Source organism: Homo sapiens, chromosome 4, assembly GCF_000001405.40.
Source record: "Homo sapiens chromosome 4, GRCh38.p14 Primary Assembly".
Classification (NCBI taxonomy): Eukaryota; Metazoa; Chordata; class Mammalia; order Primates; family Hominidae; genus Homo; species Homo sapiens.
This window is the reverse complement of record NC_000004.12, coordinates 84,777,115-84,795,554: the sequence shown is the minus strand read 5'-3', so window position 1 is coordinate 84,795,554 and position 18,440 is coordinate 84,777,115. Positions and strand designations below refer to the sequence as shown.

At 36.5% G+C, this 18,440-nt stretch overlaps 1 protein-coding gene across 29 annotated transcripts in view; it reads left to right on the top strand.

The window, feature by feature from the left end:
• WDFY3 (WD repeat and FYVE domain containing 3) overlaps positions 1 to 18,440 on the top strand; it is a 297,094-nt gene that overhangs the window by 171,136 nt on the left and 107,518 nt on the right. For all 29 annotated transcript variants that reach the window (XM_011531759.3, XM_047449858.1, XM_011531763.4 and 26 more), the window contains 8 exons: positions 576 to 676; positions 818 to 1,036; positions 5,648 to 5,829; positions 7,842 to 8,073; positions 9,416 to 9,576; positions 12,481 to 12,592; positions 15,257 to 15,447; positions 16,900 to 17,052. In XM_011531759.3, the coding sequence (XP_011530061.1) occupies positions 576 to 676; positions 818 to 1,036; positions 5,648 to 5,829; positions 7,842 to 8,073; positions 9,416 to 9,576; positions 12,481 to 12,592; positions 15,257 to 15,447; positions 16,900 to 17,052 (1,351 nt within the window). The remainder of the gene's footprint in view (positions 1 to 575; positions 677 to 817; positions 1,037 to 5,647; positions 5,830 to 7,841; positions 8,074 to 9,415; positions 9,577 to 12,480; positions 12,593 to 15,256; positions 15,448 to 16,899; positions 17,053 to 18,440) is intronic.

Sequence of the window (18,440 nt, the reverse complement as noted above, 5' to 3'; positions counted from 1 at the left end):
CCCGACCTCAAGTGATCTGCCCACCTTAGCCTCCCAACGTGCTAGGATTATAGGCGTGAGCCACTGTGCCCAGGCTTAGAGTGTTAATTCATAATTTTTATCTATACTAGTTGTTTGTGGGATTCTTATATTGATTGAAACCTCTGTGTTTTAAGAATATTATCATGGGTCATTATCAAACAATAGATTAAAACATGATTGGGAATAGTCAAAAGCAATCAGTGGTAACAAGAGAGTGACAGTAAGGGGCACATGGGAGTTTTCCTTCAGTGATGAAATTGTTCTAATGTCTTGATTGGGTTTATACGTTAGAGTATGTTGCCATATGCATTTTGTATCTTCATTTTTTTTTATTTTAAGTTAAAAATGTTATTTTGGGAGATTTTAAAATTATGTCTTTTGATACCCTTACATAATTAAAAGAAGGGAAGGGCTTTGCGAGGCATCCAGATTTATTCCATGATCTTTTCTCTAGTCACCATTAAATACTGGCAGTTATTTCACTGTGGTAAGTGCACAGTGTTAAGAGAAGGAGTCATTGATCTCTAATATGTATGTTGTCTTTTCTTTAATAGATGTCTTTTTTTGCCCAGTTTGGCCCCTCATAATGCTCCTACAAATAATACCGTCACAACAGGTCTTATTGATGGGGCTGTGGTCAGTGGCATTGGTTCTGGTAAGTAATATTTGCTTTCTGCTTATGAGTTTTTTTTCTAGTAGATTATATATAATTTAGAGTTTATTTGCTTTTGTTGGCATCTTTTAAAAAATATAAATATTAATCAACACAGACTTTTTTTTTTAATTTTTACTGTAGGTGAAAGATTCTTCCCTCCTCCCTCCGGCTTAAGTTACTCTAGCTGGTTTTGTATTGAACATTTTAGTTCTCCTCCAAATAACCACCCTGTCAGACTTCTTACTGTTGTGCGCCGAGCAAATTCTTCTGAGCAACATTACGTGTGCCTTGCAATAGTTCTATCAGCAAAAGACCGATCTCTGATTGTTTCCACCAAAGAGGAACTCCTCCAAAATTATGGTCAGTATTTTTTTTTGTTTTCTTCTTTTGATTATAGAAGTATTAAAACTTCATTTTTGTATTTATTTTAAAAGTCCAGCTAATAATAACTTTTCAGCTTAAATTATTATAGCATAGAACAAGTTACATAAAACATTGAATATTGCTTACCAGTGAATTTTAAGGCACTTTCAAAAGAGACTTACAAAACAGTGGAGGGAGTGAGTACCTAATAAGGACTAATCTCTACTTGCCAAGAAATCACAGCTTTTCCTAGGAAAGCAGGTTGCTTGTTTGATGTATTTTGGTAAGGATTATCATTGGCTGTGAATTCTGCTTAATTAATTAATATTCATTGAGCACCTGCCTGCCATATGTGCCACACTGTGCTAGCCACAATAACATTTCAATTACCTTATCCATCACTTACCTTCAAGATGTAATACATACTATTTTATAATTCTAATTCCTTAGTTTTCTCCAACATGCCATGACTTTACAGTGCTGTACAGTAGAACTCCAAACTCAAGGCATTCATGAAGATCCTGCTAAATGATAAATAATTTAAAATATAAATCTCAATTTACTTAATTTTCTTTGCTCAAGAATATAAGCATTTTGTATAAATGTGATTTTTTTGGTCATCTAATTTTGTTCTTTTAGCTAAGTAAAATAATATCACATATTAATTGACATGTGGTTGGTGTTCAATAAATATTAATATAATATGAATGTTAGTCTTTTAATTAGATTGTAAGGTTGTAGTATTCCTCATGGTACCTAGCACAGAGCTAGGCATCAATATAGTTAGTACTTTAAAATTCTTGTTATGACGCTTTATTTGCCCCTTTAGTAGCATGTAGTCCTGTTGACTAATTCGTCCTAATTAAAACTACCTCCAGTCTTGCATTTGAGAATACTCACTATTTCTCTGATCTTTGTTTTGCAATTTCCTTCAATCGCTTTCTCTTCTATCTGCCCCTCAGAAGTAGTATTCTCCAGTGTTTCACCTTTGATCTTTGTACTTGACCAGCTCTTCATGGGAAAAAATAATGAACTAGTATTGCTTTAAGTCTTTTTATCTCAAGGACTGTGAAGTCAAAGTTTTTTTTTCATTTGTCTATGTCCCAAGCTATGTCCTCATATTTCCAGCTGCATATTAGACATCTCCATATGAACAGTATTCCAATAAACATCTCAGATTCTAATATTTCTTCTTTATAAAACCTACATCTCCTTTAGGAGGCTGAGGTGGTGTAGGATTGGTGAAGCCCATGAGTTTGAGGTTACAGTGAGCTGTGAAGGTGCCATGGCACTCCAGCCTAGGAGAGACACCCAGTTTCAAACAAAAACAAAAAACCTACATCTCTTTCTGTTTTCCTGTGTTGATAAATGACACAACCACTGCCAGTTAGCCCAACTAGAAACCTGAGTCAACTTGAAAATACCACCCTTTCTACTAAGTCTTACTGTAATATGCCTCCCTAATATTTCTCAAATCTTCCCTTCCTCCCTGTGCCCACTTCCATAGCACTTGTTTAATAATCTTCATCTCTTATCTAGACTTCATAGATTTTAATTTTTAATTTGTTTTGTCTGCTTATCTTTGTAATCTAAGCTGCCCTGTCATCTAACACAGTACCTAGAATGTATTAGGCATGCAGATATTATGTAAACTTATAAATGCATGAATAGAGGAAATGAATGGTCTGAGGAAGAAACAACGAGAAAAGTGAATAATAATGGGGAATTTGAAGACACCCTAGAATTTAATGGGAAAGTTAAGGAGTGGATCTGGAGATAAATCTGTAAACTAGGAAAATATTTTCTAACTCTTATCTCATTTTTATTACTAAATGTAATTTGCCAGGCTGCTATAGTCCATATATGATTAGAAATGACGGTAACATATGCATTAGTATTGCCAGGATTCATTCTCCGAACAGCTGTAACCCATTAAGATGCCTAGGAGATTAGGAGTTGTCATAAACCAGTTGGCTCACTGAGATATCCTGACACACCACTCAGTGCTGGAAATGTCTTAGTTCAAACCTAAGTCAGAAAGTGAAACTCTCACAAATGTTTGTAAGGAATATCTTCTTCAATACTTGAGAAGACTTACAGTCTACGAACCAGGGAAGGAAGAGGGACAAGTTCCTTGTTTCACCCATATGTTCATATTTACTTTCACCTCCATTGGTCCATAACACTAGACCTTTCAAGGCTTTAGGACCCTGCTTTCTGCCTAGTTTATTCAGTTCCTATATCAAGTCACCTCATGGATAAGATTTTTACCTGTGTAATAGTCTTATCAACAGACATATATTCTGAATTGCCATTCTAAAATATAATCTTGGTATTTAAGTATGTGCAGATATTTTAAGATTCTAAAAATAGAAATAAATATTTTATTTGCATTTTCTTCTTCATATCACATAAATTTTACTTTCAGTATATTTACTTGTTTGTACATGCAGTGAAAAATACTGGATCTGCTTTAAATTATATGGTTACAGGTTAGCTCTTCTTAATTTTTTTTAAAATGAGTATTTAAAATCTGGTTTTCCACCGCTGTCTTGCCATTTGTTAAGTACTGATAAAAGGTAAATTAATTTTTGTTCAGCTTAACAATAAAATTAAATTAATATGAAACCATTATTTCTTAGCATGGTCTGGTAACATATAGGGTAGCAAAAAGGAGCCAGATTGGAGTCAGGAAGTAATTGTAGAATGGTAGCAAATCAGAATATATTTATATACGTGGGACAAAGTTGTCTGATGAAGCAGGAAACTTGGATCAACAAATCACTAGTCTGTGCTGTAAATCATCTCCTTCTTACTGCCTTTTATTATGGACAGTACAGCCACTAATAATAGATAGTTGTCCTCTTGTGTCGTTGAGCATAGCATATAGCAAGAATAAACTTTACATTTTTCTCGGTTCTTTTTCTAACCCATACTGTAACCAAATCAATGTCAAAAAGTTAACAACACATTATTGTTGTTATACAACATTATTGTCATACAACAACATTATTGTTGACTATAGTTGCAGTGTTGTAGAGCAAATCTCAAGCTTTTTTTCCTCTTGCCTCACTGAAACTTCCTGCCATTTGATTAGTAACTCCCCATTTGCCCCTCCCTCAAGCCCTTGGCGACCAACATTTCATTCGTTGTTTCTCTGAATTTGGCTATTTTAAATACCTCATATAAGTGGAGTCACGCAGTATATGTCTTTCTATGACTGGCTATTTCATTTAGCATAATGTCCTTAAGCTTCATCTATGTTGTCAGATATTGCAAAATTTTCTTCTTTAAGGCTAAATATTATTCCATTGTATATATGTACCACATTTTCTTTATCTACTCATCTGTCCAGGGGAGTACTGATACCTCTTTGAAGTCCTGATTTCAGTGATTTTAGATAAGTGCCCAGATATGGTATTGCTGGATTATATGTTAGTTCTATTTTCAGTGTTTTGAGAAACGTCTGTACTGTTTTCCATAGCAGCTGCAGCATTTTACATTCCCACCAACAGTGCGCAAGGGTTCCAGTTTCTCCACATTCTTGCCAACACTTGTGTCAACACTTTTTTTTTTTGATAATAGCCATTCTGACAGGTGTGAGGTGATATGCCATTGTGCTTATGGTTTGCATTTCCCTGATGATTAGTAACATTGAGCATTTTTCATATACCTGTCTGCCATTTATGTGCCTTCTTTGGAGAAATGTCTATTCAAGTTCTTAGCTCATTTTTAATTGATTATTAGTTTCTTTACTATTGAGTTCTAGTAGTTTCTTATGTATTTTTGACATTACTGCCTTATGAAATACATAGTTAGCAAATATTTTTCTCCCATTCCATAGATTCCCTTTTCACTCTGTTGTTTCCTTTGCTATTCAAAAGCTTTTCAGTTTGAGATAGTCCCACTTGTTTATTTTTGTTTTGGGTGTCAACTAGTCTCTTTTTAGTGTTTATCATAACGTTATTGTCTCTTTATTTTTATGTATTTTTTACTTCATTAGCTAACTTTTGTTCATTGTAACTTTATGTGATTATACCTATATTTCTTGAGCAGAAGAGAGCAAAAATACATTCTAGGTTTCACTTTACTGCAGGTAAGGGTATTGCATGAATAAGGTATCTTCTGTCTGCATTATCTTTTTATTTTTATTTACTTATTTTTTTTGAGATGGAGTCTCGCTCTGTCACCCAGGCTGGAGTACAGTGGTACAATCTCAGCACTGCAAACTCTTGCCTCCCAGGTTCAAGCATTTCTGCTGGCTCAGCCTCCCGAGTAGCTGGAACTACAGACGCGCGCCACCATACCTGGCTAATTTTTGTGTTTTTAGTAGAGATGGGGTTTCACCATGTTGGCCAGGCTGGTCTCGAACTCCTGACGTCAGGTGATCCGCCCGCCTCAGCCTCCCAAAGGGCTGACATTACAGGTGTGAGCCACCGTGCCCAACCCGCATTATCATTTTTTTTTCCAGAGTTGTATTATTACTCAAATCAGTCTGCATCATTATTTTGTTTTAACATAAAGTCAAAACATGCTGATCTAGATATGAATAATTTGAATAGGGATGGTGTTGGAAAAAGTTTTTATGTCTTCCCCCCTTTATTTCAGTTGATGATTTTAGTGAAGAGTCCTCATTTTATGAAATTCTCCCATGCTGTGCTCGCTTTCGATGTGGAGAGCTTATCATTGAGGGACAGTGGCATCATTTGGTCCTGGTAATGAGCAAAGGCATGTTGAAAAACAGTACTGCAGCCCTTTATATTGATGGACAGCTTGTTAACACTGTAAAGGTAAGTGTATGTGCACTTGTAAATCTACCTGTTTTATAAGGTAGTAGTTTGGGGGGTGTGTGTGTGTGTGTGTGTGTGTGTGTGTGTGTGTGTTACAGGGATATTTTTAAAATTACTTTCTTAATTTTAAGTTGATATTCAGTACCCATTTGAATAATATGTTAGACTCATGTGGCCAATTCTTAAACCATTTTATTAGAGAAGAATAGAAATGAGGGCTTATAGGTACTAAAGAAGTTGCTGAATATGCAAGAGCTTAAGCCAGATTGCTAGGTGCTTTTTCATAATAGAGGAACCAGTTGAAGGATTCATAAATAACGGTGAACACACTATTTTGCCACTTCATTATTGTTGTTGTAATTTAGTCCAGAAGACTTACATTCTTTAGAGCTAGAATTGTTTTTTTTTCTTTGTTTTCATATCACCCAGATTAGTCCCTGATAATGATAGTAGGTATTTAGTTTATTGTTTCTTGAATGAATGACTACATAAACATTACTGTAGATTGTGATAGTATTTAGAATAGAAAAAAAGAGTTGATTATCAAGTAAAGAAACAAGTGAAACTCCCTTTTTCTGAATGAGAATAAATCCTGCTTGTTACTTTGTACAGAACTCAGTTCGCAAGCTCTGAAAATTCTTGACCTTCTAAAAGATAGTATTCATTTTATTTTATTTTATTTTATTTTTATTGTTTTTCCTTTTTTAAGATGGTGTCTTGCTCTGTCGCCCAGGCTGGAGTGCAGTGGCACGATCTCAGCTCACCGCAACCTCCACCTCCTGGGTATGAGCAATTCTCCTGCCTCAGCCTCCCAAATAGCTGGGACTACAGGCATGTGCCACCACACGTGGCTAATTTTTGTATTTTTAGTAGAGATGGGGTTTCACCATGTTGGCCAGGCTGGTCTCAAACTCCTGACCTCAGGTGATCCTCATGCCTCGGCCTCCCAAAATGCTGGGATATAGCCAGTTATCCATTTTAGGGCGATCACTTGAAAGAAGTAACAAAGACAAAGTTTGTCCTTGTGTGTGAATTAAAGTTTGAAAAGCACTGAAACCAGCAGTATCTTTGAATATATTTCCTTCCTTGATGATGATGATATTTTATTGTGACATTGTGTTTCAATATGATAAACCCTAAAATGCACCTTGTGGAATAGTCATTGATTTGTTTGTATACATGATTGCATTTGAAATGGGTTTGTAGATTCTCTAGTACGTTGCTCCTTCATTAATTTTAGTGTCATTAAAAATAAAAATGCCCTCAGCTTCTAGAGTTGAGCAATAGGAAATTTATTATTGATTTATTTACATCATCATCACTGTCCCTGTCAATAGTCACAGTACTGTGAAATCAACTCTAGCTCTTATGTTGGTCTTCACAATTGTGCTATTAACATCACCAAGAACTGCTGTTTAATATATAGAATAATGAATAGGATCTGAAGCTGAGATGTTATTATGACACAGCAGTTAATGGAAGTGTCCTTCATCCCATTAAGCTGCTTCAGCAAGAAAAAGCAACTTAAGTTCTTTATCTCTTATACTGTACTTAATTATATATTTATTATAATAATTTACCCCTATAAAACGCTTTTCATCAGTAATTTTAGTTAACAGACTCACATTGAAGGTAACATACCTAATTTCAAGACTACTTTAATTCCATAGTGGAAAGCTCTCTTTATATCAGCACAAAAATTTCAGAGAAGCGTCATTAACTTGATGTGCAAACCAGCCATTGACAGTATCCCTGTATTTGCCTGTTGCCATTTCTAGCATTAAAGAGTTTATCTGTGTTAGAGAGTTGGATAAAAGTTTTAGCTACTATACCTGGTCCTCAGTTACAGATCCCAGTATCGTGCCTTGCCCTTCCTGTTTCTCCACCCCAAATGTTTTTGTGCATTTGTAAAGTTGTGTGACCTTGGGATAATGAAAATACATATGCTGAAGTAGTTATTTTCCTGGGGAAAGTGTTCACATCTCACACATTTGCTTTTGTCTTCCTTACAGCTTCATTATGTCCACAGTACTCCAGGGGGTTCAGGTTCGGCAAATCCACCAGTGGTGAGCACGGTCTATGCCTACATTGGTACTCCACCTGCCCAACGCCAAATTGCCTCATTGGTTTGGCGCCTGGGACCCACACATTTTCTAGAAGAAGTTTTACCTTCTTCAAATGTTACTACCATTTATGAACTTGGACCAAATTATGTTGGAAGCTTTCAGGCTGTATGTATGCCATGTGAGTAACTTATTTTTAGTTCTTGAAGTTGTATGAAACTTAACTCCTGCAATATAGATGCATGTGTGTGTCTGAGGTTATACATATTGTTAATCTAGGAAAAGCGCCTTCTCCTCTAATCTTCTTCAGCAGGATACTCACTCCTATTGAAAATATTTTCCTCCACTGATTATACTGCACTTTCTGGATTCTTTGTCTTTATGTCTGATCGCTTATTATCCAGTTTCTCTTACTGGCTCTGAGATATAGGTATATGCCCTCTAGGAGTCTAACTGTGACACTCTTCTCTTTCTGTGATTTCTCCTATTACATGAAGCAGTTTAAAGTATAGCCACCCCTGTTAAAGGAAGAACAGATAGGTTCAATAAACACACACACATATTCTCTAGATGAGATCACTTAACATTATTTTTCCTCATTTCTTTACTCCAAGCCTACTTTTTGTTATCCTTTCTCCCAAATGAAATTTAGACTCAGAGGAACTGATGTTAAGCTGGCAGTTCCTTGGTAGTACTCCTTGCAAATGATGGTCTTCCACTCCCTTGTTCTGATTCCACCAAGAATCTCAGAAGAGTTAGGACAAGTATATTGTAAATGGTCATAATCCTAAGATTTAGTAATTTATCTTTTCACTCATTCTTAATTTAGATGGTATCTAATAAAAGCTAACACTTCTTGGGCACTTACTGTGTGCTAAATAAGTCAATACACATGAAGGATGTAGCTGTTCTGAGCCCTTCACATGTATTTATTCATCTCAAAACACTGTGAGTTAGGTACTGTCATTATCATTCCCATTTCACAGAAGAGGAAACTGAGGCACAAAGACATATAGGTCGCACAGCTTTTAAGTGATAAAGCAAGATTCAAACTCAGGCCATGTAGCTTTAAAACACATGCCTTTATTAATAACTCCTCTGCTTTGTGGTCTCAAAGAATACAGGCAGGCATATCTGAGTGCTTTTTTAGGGGAGGGGACATAGTGCTACATGGCTGATCAGCATTTTATTCATCTTCATTCCTTTTTCCTTTGAATCTAGGGGGACATGTTTTACAGTTTGTCAGATAACAGTTAAAACTTTTCATCCTTTACGTTGTGCTATATGTTAAACATGTTTTAAGAGTGGCACTTAGAATGTAGAACTCTATGACTAGATTTCTTTTTCCATCTTTTAATTAAAGAAATAAATGAAGAGCTGAGAAGATAGTTTTTAAATTTACCTCTCTTATTCTACTTTAAGACTTTCAAGCCTCCTCATTTAAAAATGATAGTAAGAATAAAAAACTTACTTTAAGATGAGAACTACTGATGATTTTGAAAAGAATTATTCTTCTTTTGAAGGTAAAGATGCAAAATCCGAAGGGGTGGTGCCATCCCCTGTGTCATTAGTACCAGAGGAGAAAGTGTCATTTGGCCTCTATGCACTCTCTGTGTCGTCTCTAACAGTGGCAAGAATCCGGAAAGTGTATAACAAATTGGATAGCAAAGCCATTGCTAAGCAGGTAAGCAGAATGATTTCTTGGTGTACTATGGCTGATTCTCACTGGGAACATGTCTCAGAGTCTCATATGGATACTACTCAATTATGAGTGACTGCTAAAAATCATGCCTTTCATGTATTGTTTATGTTTGGTTAATTTGACTTCAAATGTAGGCCAAAACACATGTAGATATGTAACTTAATTTGGAAAAGTGACAGTTTCTGTTATGAGTACATAATTCATATTAATTTATTTATATTGGCAATTAAGAAATTTAACTTTAGAAAACTAATGAAAACAATTACTGTTTTTAAGGCTACAACTCAACTTTTTAACGAATGACCTATTATGTGCCAGGTGACATTCAGTTCAGGACATAGCAGTGGATAAAAAGAAAATTTCTGCTTTTATATTTCCTACATTCTAGTGGAAAAGACAGATGATAATACCTAAAGAAATAACCTAATCATGAAGTATGTTAGAAGGTGATGGTGCTATGCAGTAAAATAAAGCAGGGAAGGGGAAAGAGAGAAGCTTCAAGTTTTTAATATGGTGGTCCAAGGAGACGTTACTGAGAAGGTTAATTTTGAGCAAAGACTTGACAGGGATGAGGTAACAGGCCACAGGAATAGGGAGCATGGGATATACCTATGGGTGTGGGAGTGTTTTGTATTCCAGGAATACAAGTGCAAAGGCCCTGAGAAGTGTACTGTACGTACCTGCCATGGAGACAGATGTGGATGCAGTAAAATTAGAGAGGGCCCGGGCAGTAGGAGAGGAGCCCAGAGTGACGATGGGTCTTAGGTTGTTTAGGATTCATGGGGCAATTGTAAAGACATTGGCTCTGATGGAGAAAGATGGGAGGCATTATGGAGTTTCAGACATAGGAGGGAAATGCTGTAACTTACATTTTATCACTATGACTTCTATTGACAATAGGTTGAAGAGAAACAAAGGTAGTAGCAGAGAGACAAGTTATGAGGCCAATGCGATAAATAATTCCTATGAGAGATTATGGTGGTTTTAATTTGGGCAGTAGCAGTGGTAGTGATAAGAAGTGATCAGATTCAAGGTGTGTATGTGTGTGTGTGTGTGTGTGTGTGTGTGTATATATATATATATATATATATATATATATATACATATACACTTTTTTTTTTTGAGATGGAGTTTGCCTCTTGTCGCCTAGGCTAGAGTGCAATGGTGTGATCTCGGCTCACTGCAACCTCTGTCTCCTGGGTTCAAGTGATTCTCCTGCCTCAGCCTCCTGAGTAGCTGGGATTATAGGCATGCACCACCATGCCCAACTGATTTTTGTATTTTTATTAGAGACAGGGTTTCACCATGTTGGCCAGGCTGGTCTCAAACTCCTAACCTCAGGTGATCCACCTGCCTCAGCCTCCCAAAGTGCTGGGATTACAGGTGTGAGCCATCCCACCCGGCTCAAGGTATATTTTAAAAGTTGACCTAGCAGTTTTGTGTGATAGAATGTGGAATGAGTGTGGAAGGTGAGAGAGTTAAGGACTCCAGGTTTTTTTCTTGAACAGCTAGGAAAATGGAGTCACATTTTCTGATTTGGAGAAAACTACAAAAAGAGTAGAGTTGGGAGGAATATTGAGAATTCTGTTTTAGAAGTTTGAGAAGTGTATTAGACATCACAGTAGAGATTTCAAGGCCATTGGAAATACGAATCTGGAGTTCATTTATACAGGTGGTGTTTAAAGCCATGAGTCTACATGTATTCACCAAAGCATAGATGTAGATAGGGAAATGGAAAGTTTTAAAGACTGAAACCTGGGACGTTCCAGTGTTATGGAGTTGGGGAGATCAAGAAGAACCAGAAAAGACTGAGAAGTAGCAGTCAGTGAGAAGGGAGAAAAACCAGGAGGGCTTAATGTTGTAAGATCAAGGATTCACTGTGGAAATGACTTAAGTGGTCACAGTAAGATAAGAAGTGAGGACTGACTATGGGGTTTAGCAAGGTGAACTCATCAGTGAGCTTGACAAGCCATTTTGGCTGATTATCAGAGGCAAAGTCCAAGGGGAAGGATATCAAGAGACCAGGAACTGTAAGTATTGACAACTCTTACGCAGAGCTTTTGTGTGTGTGTGTGTGTGTGTGTGTGTGTGTGTGTGTATGTATGACACATATACATATCTAAGGAACATAAACTTCACATAACTCTATAGTGAACAACAGAATTAAAGTTATATTTGCCTTGAAAATAGATCTTGTGTATGTGTGAATGTACAAAATGTAAGATTCCTTTATGTAGGCATGTTTTATCTATAAACTCTTGGATAACTTATGTTTACTTGGATATGGAATAAAGCTAATATGTTCACTGATCTGAAATACTGTGAGGCAGTTAGTGATAACAACCTTTAAACTACCAAAGAACTTCATTCACAAAGACCCCTGAAGCTGTGTCTCAAGATCCTCTCACCATCTTTATCTCAGTAAATTGTGTTTAACTTACCTCCTGTGAGTTTCCACACTTTGGAAGTGTTTGTACATTTCCAAAAATAAATGCTCCCAGGCTGGAGTGTGGAGTGCCAGTGGCACAATCTCCGTTGACTGCATTCTCGACCTCCTAGGCTCAGGTGTTTCTCCCACCTCTGCCTCCTGAGTAATGCACCACAAGACCTGGCTAATTTTTTGCATTTTAGTAGAGATGGGGGTCTCGCCATGTTTCCCAGGCTGGTCTCAAACTCCGGGCTCAAGCGATTCCCTTGCCTCTATCTTACAAAGTGTTAGGATTATAGGCATGAGCCACCAGGCTGGACCTAAATGCTCGTTTTTCAGTATTCTGATAAGGGAGGAGAGAAAAGATATGTTACCATTCATGTGTTTGGTTTCTTTTCCAATCAAAACATTGAAACTGTTCTTATATAATTACATTCTTTTCCTTTCCTATTTTTCAGTTAGGCATTTCCTCACATGAGAATGCCACTCCTGTGAAGTTGATACACAATTCAGCAGGACATCTTAATGGATCTGCACGGACAATTGGGGCCGCTCTGATTGGATACTTGGGTGAGTGGACTTATCTTTGTTGTTTCAAACTTCTTTATTTGCCATCAAGTTTGCATTCACTTTCCTCACTTAAGGGGCAGTATTTAAGTTCATATTTTAATAGCACTGACCTATAGTGTACGTGCAGTATTCAGAGATTACATGTAACAATCTCAAATTCCAGTCAATTTAAAATAATAACCTTTCATAAAATCCCACTAACTTTTACATATCCACCAAGGAATACTATACAGCCATAAAAAGGAATGAGATCATGTCCTTTGCAGGGACATAGATGAAGCTAGAAATCATCCTCAGCAAACTAACACAAGAACAGAAAACCAAATGTTGCATAGTCTCACTCATAGCGGGGAGCTGAACAATGAGAACATACGGACACAGGGACGGGAACATCACATACCAGGGCCTGTCAGGGGAAGTGGGCCAAGGGGAGGGAGAGCATCAGTACAAATACCTAATGCATGTGGTGCTTAATACCTAGGTGACAGGTTTATAGGTGCAGCAAACCACCATGGCACATGTTTACCTATGTAGCAAACCTGCACGTTCTGTGCATGTATCCCAGAACTTAAAGTAAAATAAAAAAAAAAAATTGCACTGTTTCCCTCTTGTCAGTAATGATCAGCACTGACTATATAATTTCGTGTAACTTTTAGGTAAATTTCAAATTACATTTAGTGACAGGTATCAAAATTCAGAACTATTATTGATTGTTTCATGATTTGGTATATAGCTCATGAGTTTTTGTTAATTTAGAAATGAGCTAGAAATTAGAGCTTCTGAGTATAAACACTGACTCAAACTATAATAAAAATTTAGAGCGTGGACATTCTTCAGAGCCTTGTACATGTCTGCTTAAAACGTTATTTTTGTTTTTGTTTTTTTGTTAGATAGGATCTTGAGACATAAACCAATCACGCCATTCAAAATTCAGAACCAGTGATTGTGACTTTTAATGTGTAAATCAGTATATAATACTGGTTCCTTTTTAGATTAATAAAAAGTTAGTGTTGTGCTGGTCAGAATCCAACATGTTTATTAGTCATTGGCAATTTTTATTGTCCCAGTGAATTGCATAAATGTTTGTTTTTCTTTTTTGATAATACAGCATTGGTAAAAATTTTCTTTACTCTAAAGCACGTGGTAGCGTTCTTTTATTCAAAAAATACTTACAAGCACTGTGGTATGTCCTTTTCAAAAGTATAGCAGCCCTGTGGTATAGTGGAAAGAGCAGTGAGCAGTAAGTTCAGAGACTTAGGTTCCAGCCCCTGTTGTGTCACTATGTGATATTATGCCATACAGTTAAGCTCTATGAACTTCAGTGTTCTTATCTATAAACTAGTAATACTGGCCCTAATTACCTTAGGAGCTAGTTTTCAAAATCCAGCACTGTAATATATGAAGGTATTGTGGGCTGGGCATGGTGGTTCACACCATGTAATCCCAGCACTTTGGGAGGCCTAGACAGGAGGATTGTTTGAGCCCAGGAGACTGCAATGAGCTGTGATTGAGCCACTGCATTCCAGCCTGGGTGACAATGAGACCCTGTCTCAAAAAAAAAAAAAAAAAACAAAAGGGAAAGAAGGAAAGAAAGTATTGTGAATACTGCAGAGCACATAGAAATATAATATGCATGTTACTTTTATTTTTTAAAATCTCAGTCTTGGTCAGCAGGCAAGTGACATTCAAACAATGCCTCTTTAAAATGTTAGGAATGTAGGTGTGATTTTTTTTTTTTTAATTGGCACACAGTTCCAGGACTGTGTTTCTATAAACTTATGCTCTCCTAAAGTTACTGATGTACTGTTACACAGATTACTTAACCAAGAGAAGCTCTGGGTAATGGTCAGTAATGTGCTTTGCTTGGTTTATCTATAGGAAATACATCATCCCCGCCAGGATAGCTTCTCCAAACCTTTCTCCAGTTCACAGAGTTAAAGTGACTTTTATTGTCCCCAAGGTTATTCCCCAACAGATGCTAGTAAGGCACTCTTACTTACTCAGAAATGCATTCTCAAGACCACTTACTTTTGAGTACAGCCCAGAGCTACACAGTAGAAACATTTGTGCTTGCTGTAAAGCCCTGCTCTTCTCTGCTCACTCCTCTACACCCAGTCTTCTCTAAGAGTATGTAGATTAGCTTTTTTTCCTTTTCAAAGAATTTTATTATTTATTTATTTATTTATTTATTTATTTTTTGAGAGGGAGTCTCCCTCTGTCACCCAGGCTGGAGTGCGGTGGCGCGATCTCGGCTCACTGCAACCTCCAACTCCTAGGTTAAAGTGAGTCTCCTGCCTCAGCCTCCTGTGTAGCTGAGATTGTAGGCGCGTGCAACCACGCCCGGCTAATTTTTGTATTTTTAGTAGAGACGGGGTTTGGGGTTTCACCATGTTGGTCAGACTAGTCTCAAACTCCTGACCTTGTGATCCACTTGCTTCGGCCTCCCAAAGTGCTGGGATTACAGGTGTGAGCCACCGTGCCCAGCCAGCCTGTATTGCCTTGTCCCAAATTCTACCTTTAATGCTTTCCCTAGAATTTGCATTATAGACAGAAGATATTTTTAAAATAAAACACTGCTAATTAAAAAACTTTTCAAGATGATGTATACAGTTCTTGTTCACATGGGGAATTTATCTTAATTATTTTTCACTATCTTTTAATCAGGAGTAAGAACATTTGTCCCTAAGCCTGTTGCCACTACTTTGCAGTACGTTGGTGGAGCTGCAGCCATCCTGGGCCTGGTGGCCATGGCCTCTGATGTGGAAGGGTTATATGCAGCAGTCAAGGCCCTGGTTTGTGTGGTCAAGAGTAACCCACTAGCCAGCAAAGAAATGGAAAGAATCAAGGGCTACCAGGTTTGTAACTGTAAAACTTTGCCTTCACTTCACCTGGCACCTAAAATACTCTGCTTTTTTATTATCATTCATGTTGTTTGAAACTCTGGAAGAATTATATTGTCCAAGGAAACTTAAAGAGACAGTAGTTTTATGAAAACTAATATATGTCAAATGAAAGTATGTATTGTTTCTTTATTTTGCTTTATCCTTTTTCTCCTATCTTATCAAATCTTACTAAACACTTGAGTTAGGCAACATTATTTCAATATAGCTTTAATACATTGAATTTATTTTCAGAACAAAGGTTTGCTGGTTTGAATGTTGTTTTTCTCTGTGGAAATGGGAAAGAAATGAAATGGGGTCCTATTCCCCCTTCCTGAAAGGATTGCCAAATCCATGGTAGATTCAGGGCTCTCCCTGTTTCCTTCTCTCTCCCCTCCACCTCACACCCCACCATCTTTTATCTCTGTTACTTACTCAGGAGACGTGAAAGCCACTACATAATAAGTGTACCATTGCTATTCCTGAAAACTAAAAATACAAAAATTAGCCAGGCATGGTGGCATGTGCCTGTAATCCCAGCTACTTCAGAGGCTGAGGCAGGAGAATCGCTTGAACCTGGAAGGCGGAGGCTGCAGTAAGCCGAGATTGCGCCATTGCATTCCAGCCTGGGCGAAGGAGCAAGACTCAAAAAAAAAAAAAAGCAGCATTTATGTATCCACAGTCAGAATTAGATAAAAAATCACTTGTAAGAAGAGGAACAAATACTTGAAGCAAGATTAAAACCTATCATACACGAAGTACAAATGCCTTCTGCAAGTTTAACCATTAGTTTATTGATAATGAATATACTGTTTACTGTGTTGTATAGATTTAATTATAGTATTTCAATAAGTGTTTTCTTTTGCAAAACTTTCAAAATGATTATTGCAGCGTTGTTTATCATGAAAAAATAGAACAATCTAGATATACCAGTAATAAGAGAATGACTAATTATACTCTAAGCATTCCATAGACTATCATTCAACCTTTTAAAATTGTAATTATTAAGACCGTGTTGCAAAAAAAAATACTTTATAACACAAAAAGTGTATATTTAAGTAGTTACCATCATGTGCATACAATTTTATATTCTTGCTGTGATGTTTTCATTATACATACAATTTTATGCACGCGTTGGTAACTATTTACATATTTATAATGGAATTGAAAGGGTAAATGTAAAAGTGGATATTTTAATAGAATGTTAAGATCCCTTTGTTTTTCAGATTTTACCTAATGTTATATTTTCATAATAAAAATTTAGAAATTAACTTAATAATCTCAGAAAATCATCTACATAGGATTCTGTGTGTATGTGTGTGTTTGTGTGTGTATGTGTGTGTTTGTGTGTGTATGTGTGTGTTTGTGTGTGTGTAATGAATATATATGATGATTTATCAACAGGCATTTGGTATTACTTTCTTGTAGTTGCTGGCAATGTTGCTTAAGAAGAAACGTTCCCTTCTTAACAGCCACATCCTCCATCTAACTTTTTCTTTGGTGGGAACTGTTGATAGTGGACATGAGACCTCCATTATTCCAAATTCAACTGCTTTCCAGGACCTCCTCTGTGATTTTGAAGTATGTATATAAGCATAATTGATAATATATAATCAATGAATGCATTTCTTACTCCATATGATTATAAACTATTTTATCTCTAAAATGTGTTTAAAGCCCTATAATTTTATGATGTTCATGTTAATATCATTTAGTAAAATATAAAAAGTAGAATAATGCTGGGGTTCCTTTTCTCCAAGGATATTCCATTTTGCAAATATTTTAGAAGTGAAATGGTATGATGCATATCCCTAACTAGCTGATTTGCTGCTGGCAGTGGCATTACATGAGTCAAACATAGTTTCATCAGGCAATTCTGATAGAAACTTTTTCTTGATAAATAGGACCTAGACCTCTAATTTTGGTTACAGCTGCATGGTAAAATATCATTCATTTTATGTTCACATTTCATAGTCTACCTTTTCTGCTTCTACTGCTATATCCTAATTCAAGCCCTAATCAATCCTTCTCCTATTCATACTAGAATAACTATCACTTCTTTTTCCCCTTTGCTCAGGCTGTCCTACATACCCTTGGGACCTCATTCTTTCAAAGGCATTTTCATTTCTACTGGCTTATTACTGTAACAGCTTACACTCTGTTCTCTCAAGGCAACTCGTGATCACTTATATCCTTTTTCCATTTAATTTCTTGTTTACAGCACTTTGCATGTTAGTTATTATGTACTAAATTTATGTAATATATCCCTGTGAAACTGTAGGATCTATGGGCTTTATGATTGGGGAAATCATGTTTATCTTCTTTGTCTTTGTGTTCCTACCACCTAGAATAGTGCCTAGCACTTAATATTTGCGAACTCTTGTGTCTAGGCCCTAACCCTTCTTCCTCACAACTTCTGTAAGCTCTGTTTTGTCAATTATTGAATCCCTCACAAACAGTGTGCCCTAATTGCTTTACTGACACTGTATTTTCAAAGCTTACTAGAAGCTTCCCCCTAAATAAAAATCTATGGCCTGTACTCAGTTTTCAGCATCCGCAGCTCTCAGTAACATTGGCTATTGTCTGTTTCCCTCATATTCTTTCAAGTTATACTTCTTTTGCTAGCTTTCAGGTGTTAATATCCTGGTTCTTACATCTTTCTTACTATTTTTTTCTATTATTTTCTTGCAGCAATGTTTTCATTATTTTATGTAAGGATGTTCATCTTTACTTTTTTACATTTTCCTTTATTTGTTGTTTTCCTTTCTTTAAACTCTTACCTAGGCTGACGGTCTCATCTCTGTGGAGTTGATCCTCAAATCTAAATCTCTAACCTTGACATCTGAATTCCAGACTTATTTTTAATTCTTGCTCAGTCAGCACTGTCCCACCAACACCTTAACTGAACTTAGCATCCCTCTCCAAATTAGTTCTTCCTTCTAACTTCTCTATTTCTCTTAATAACACCA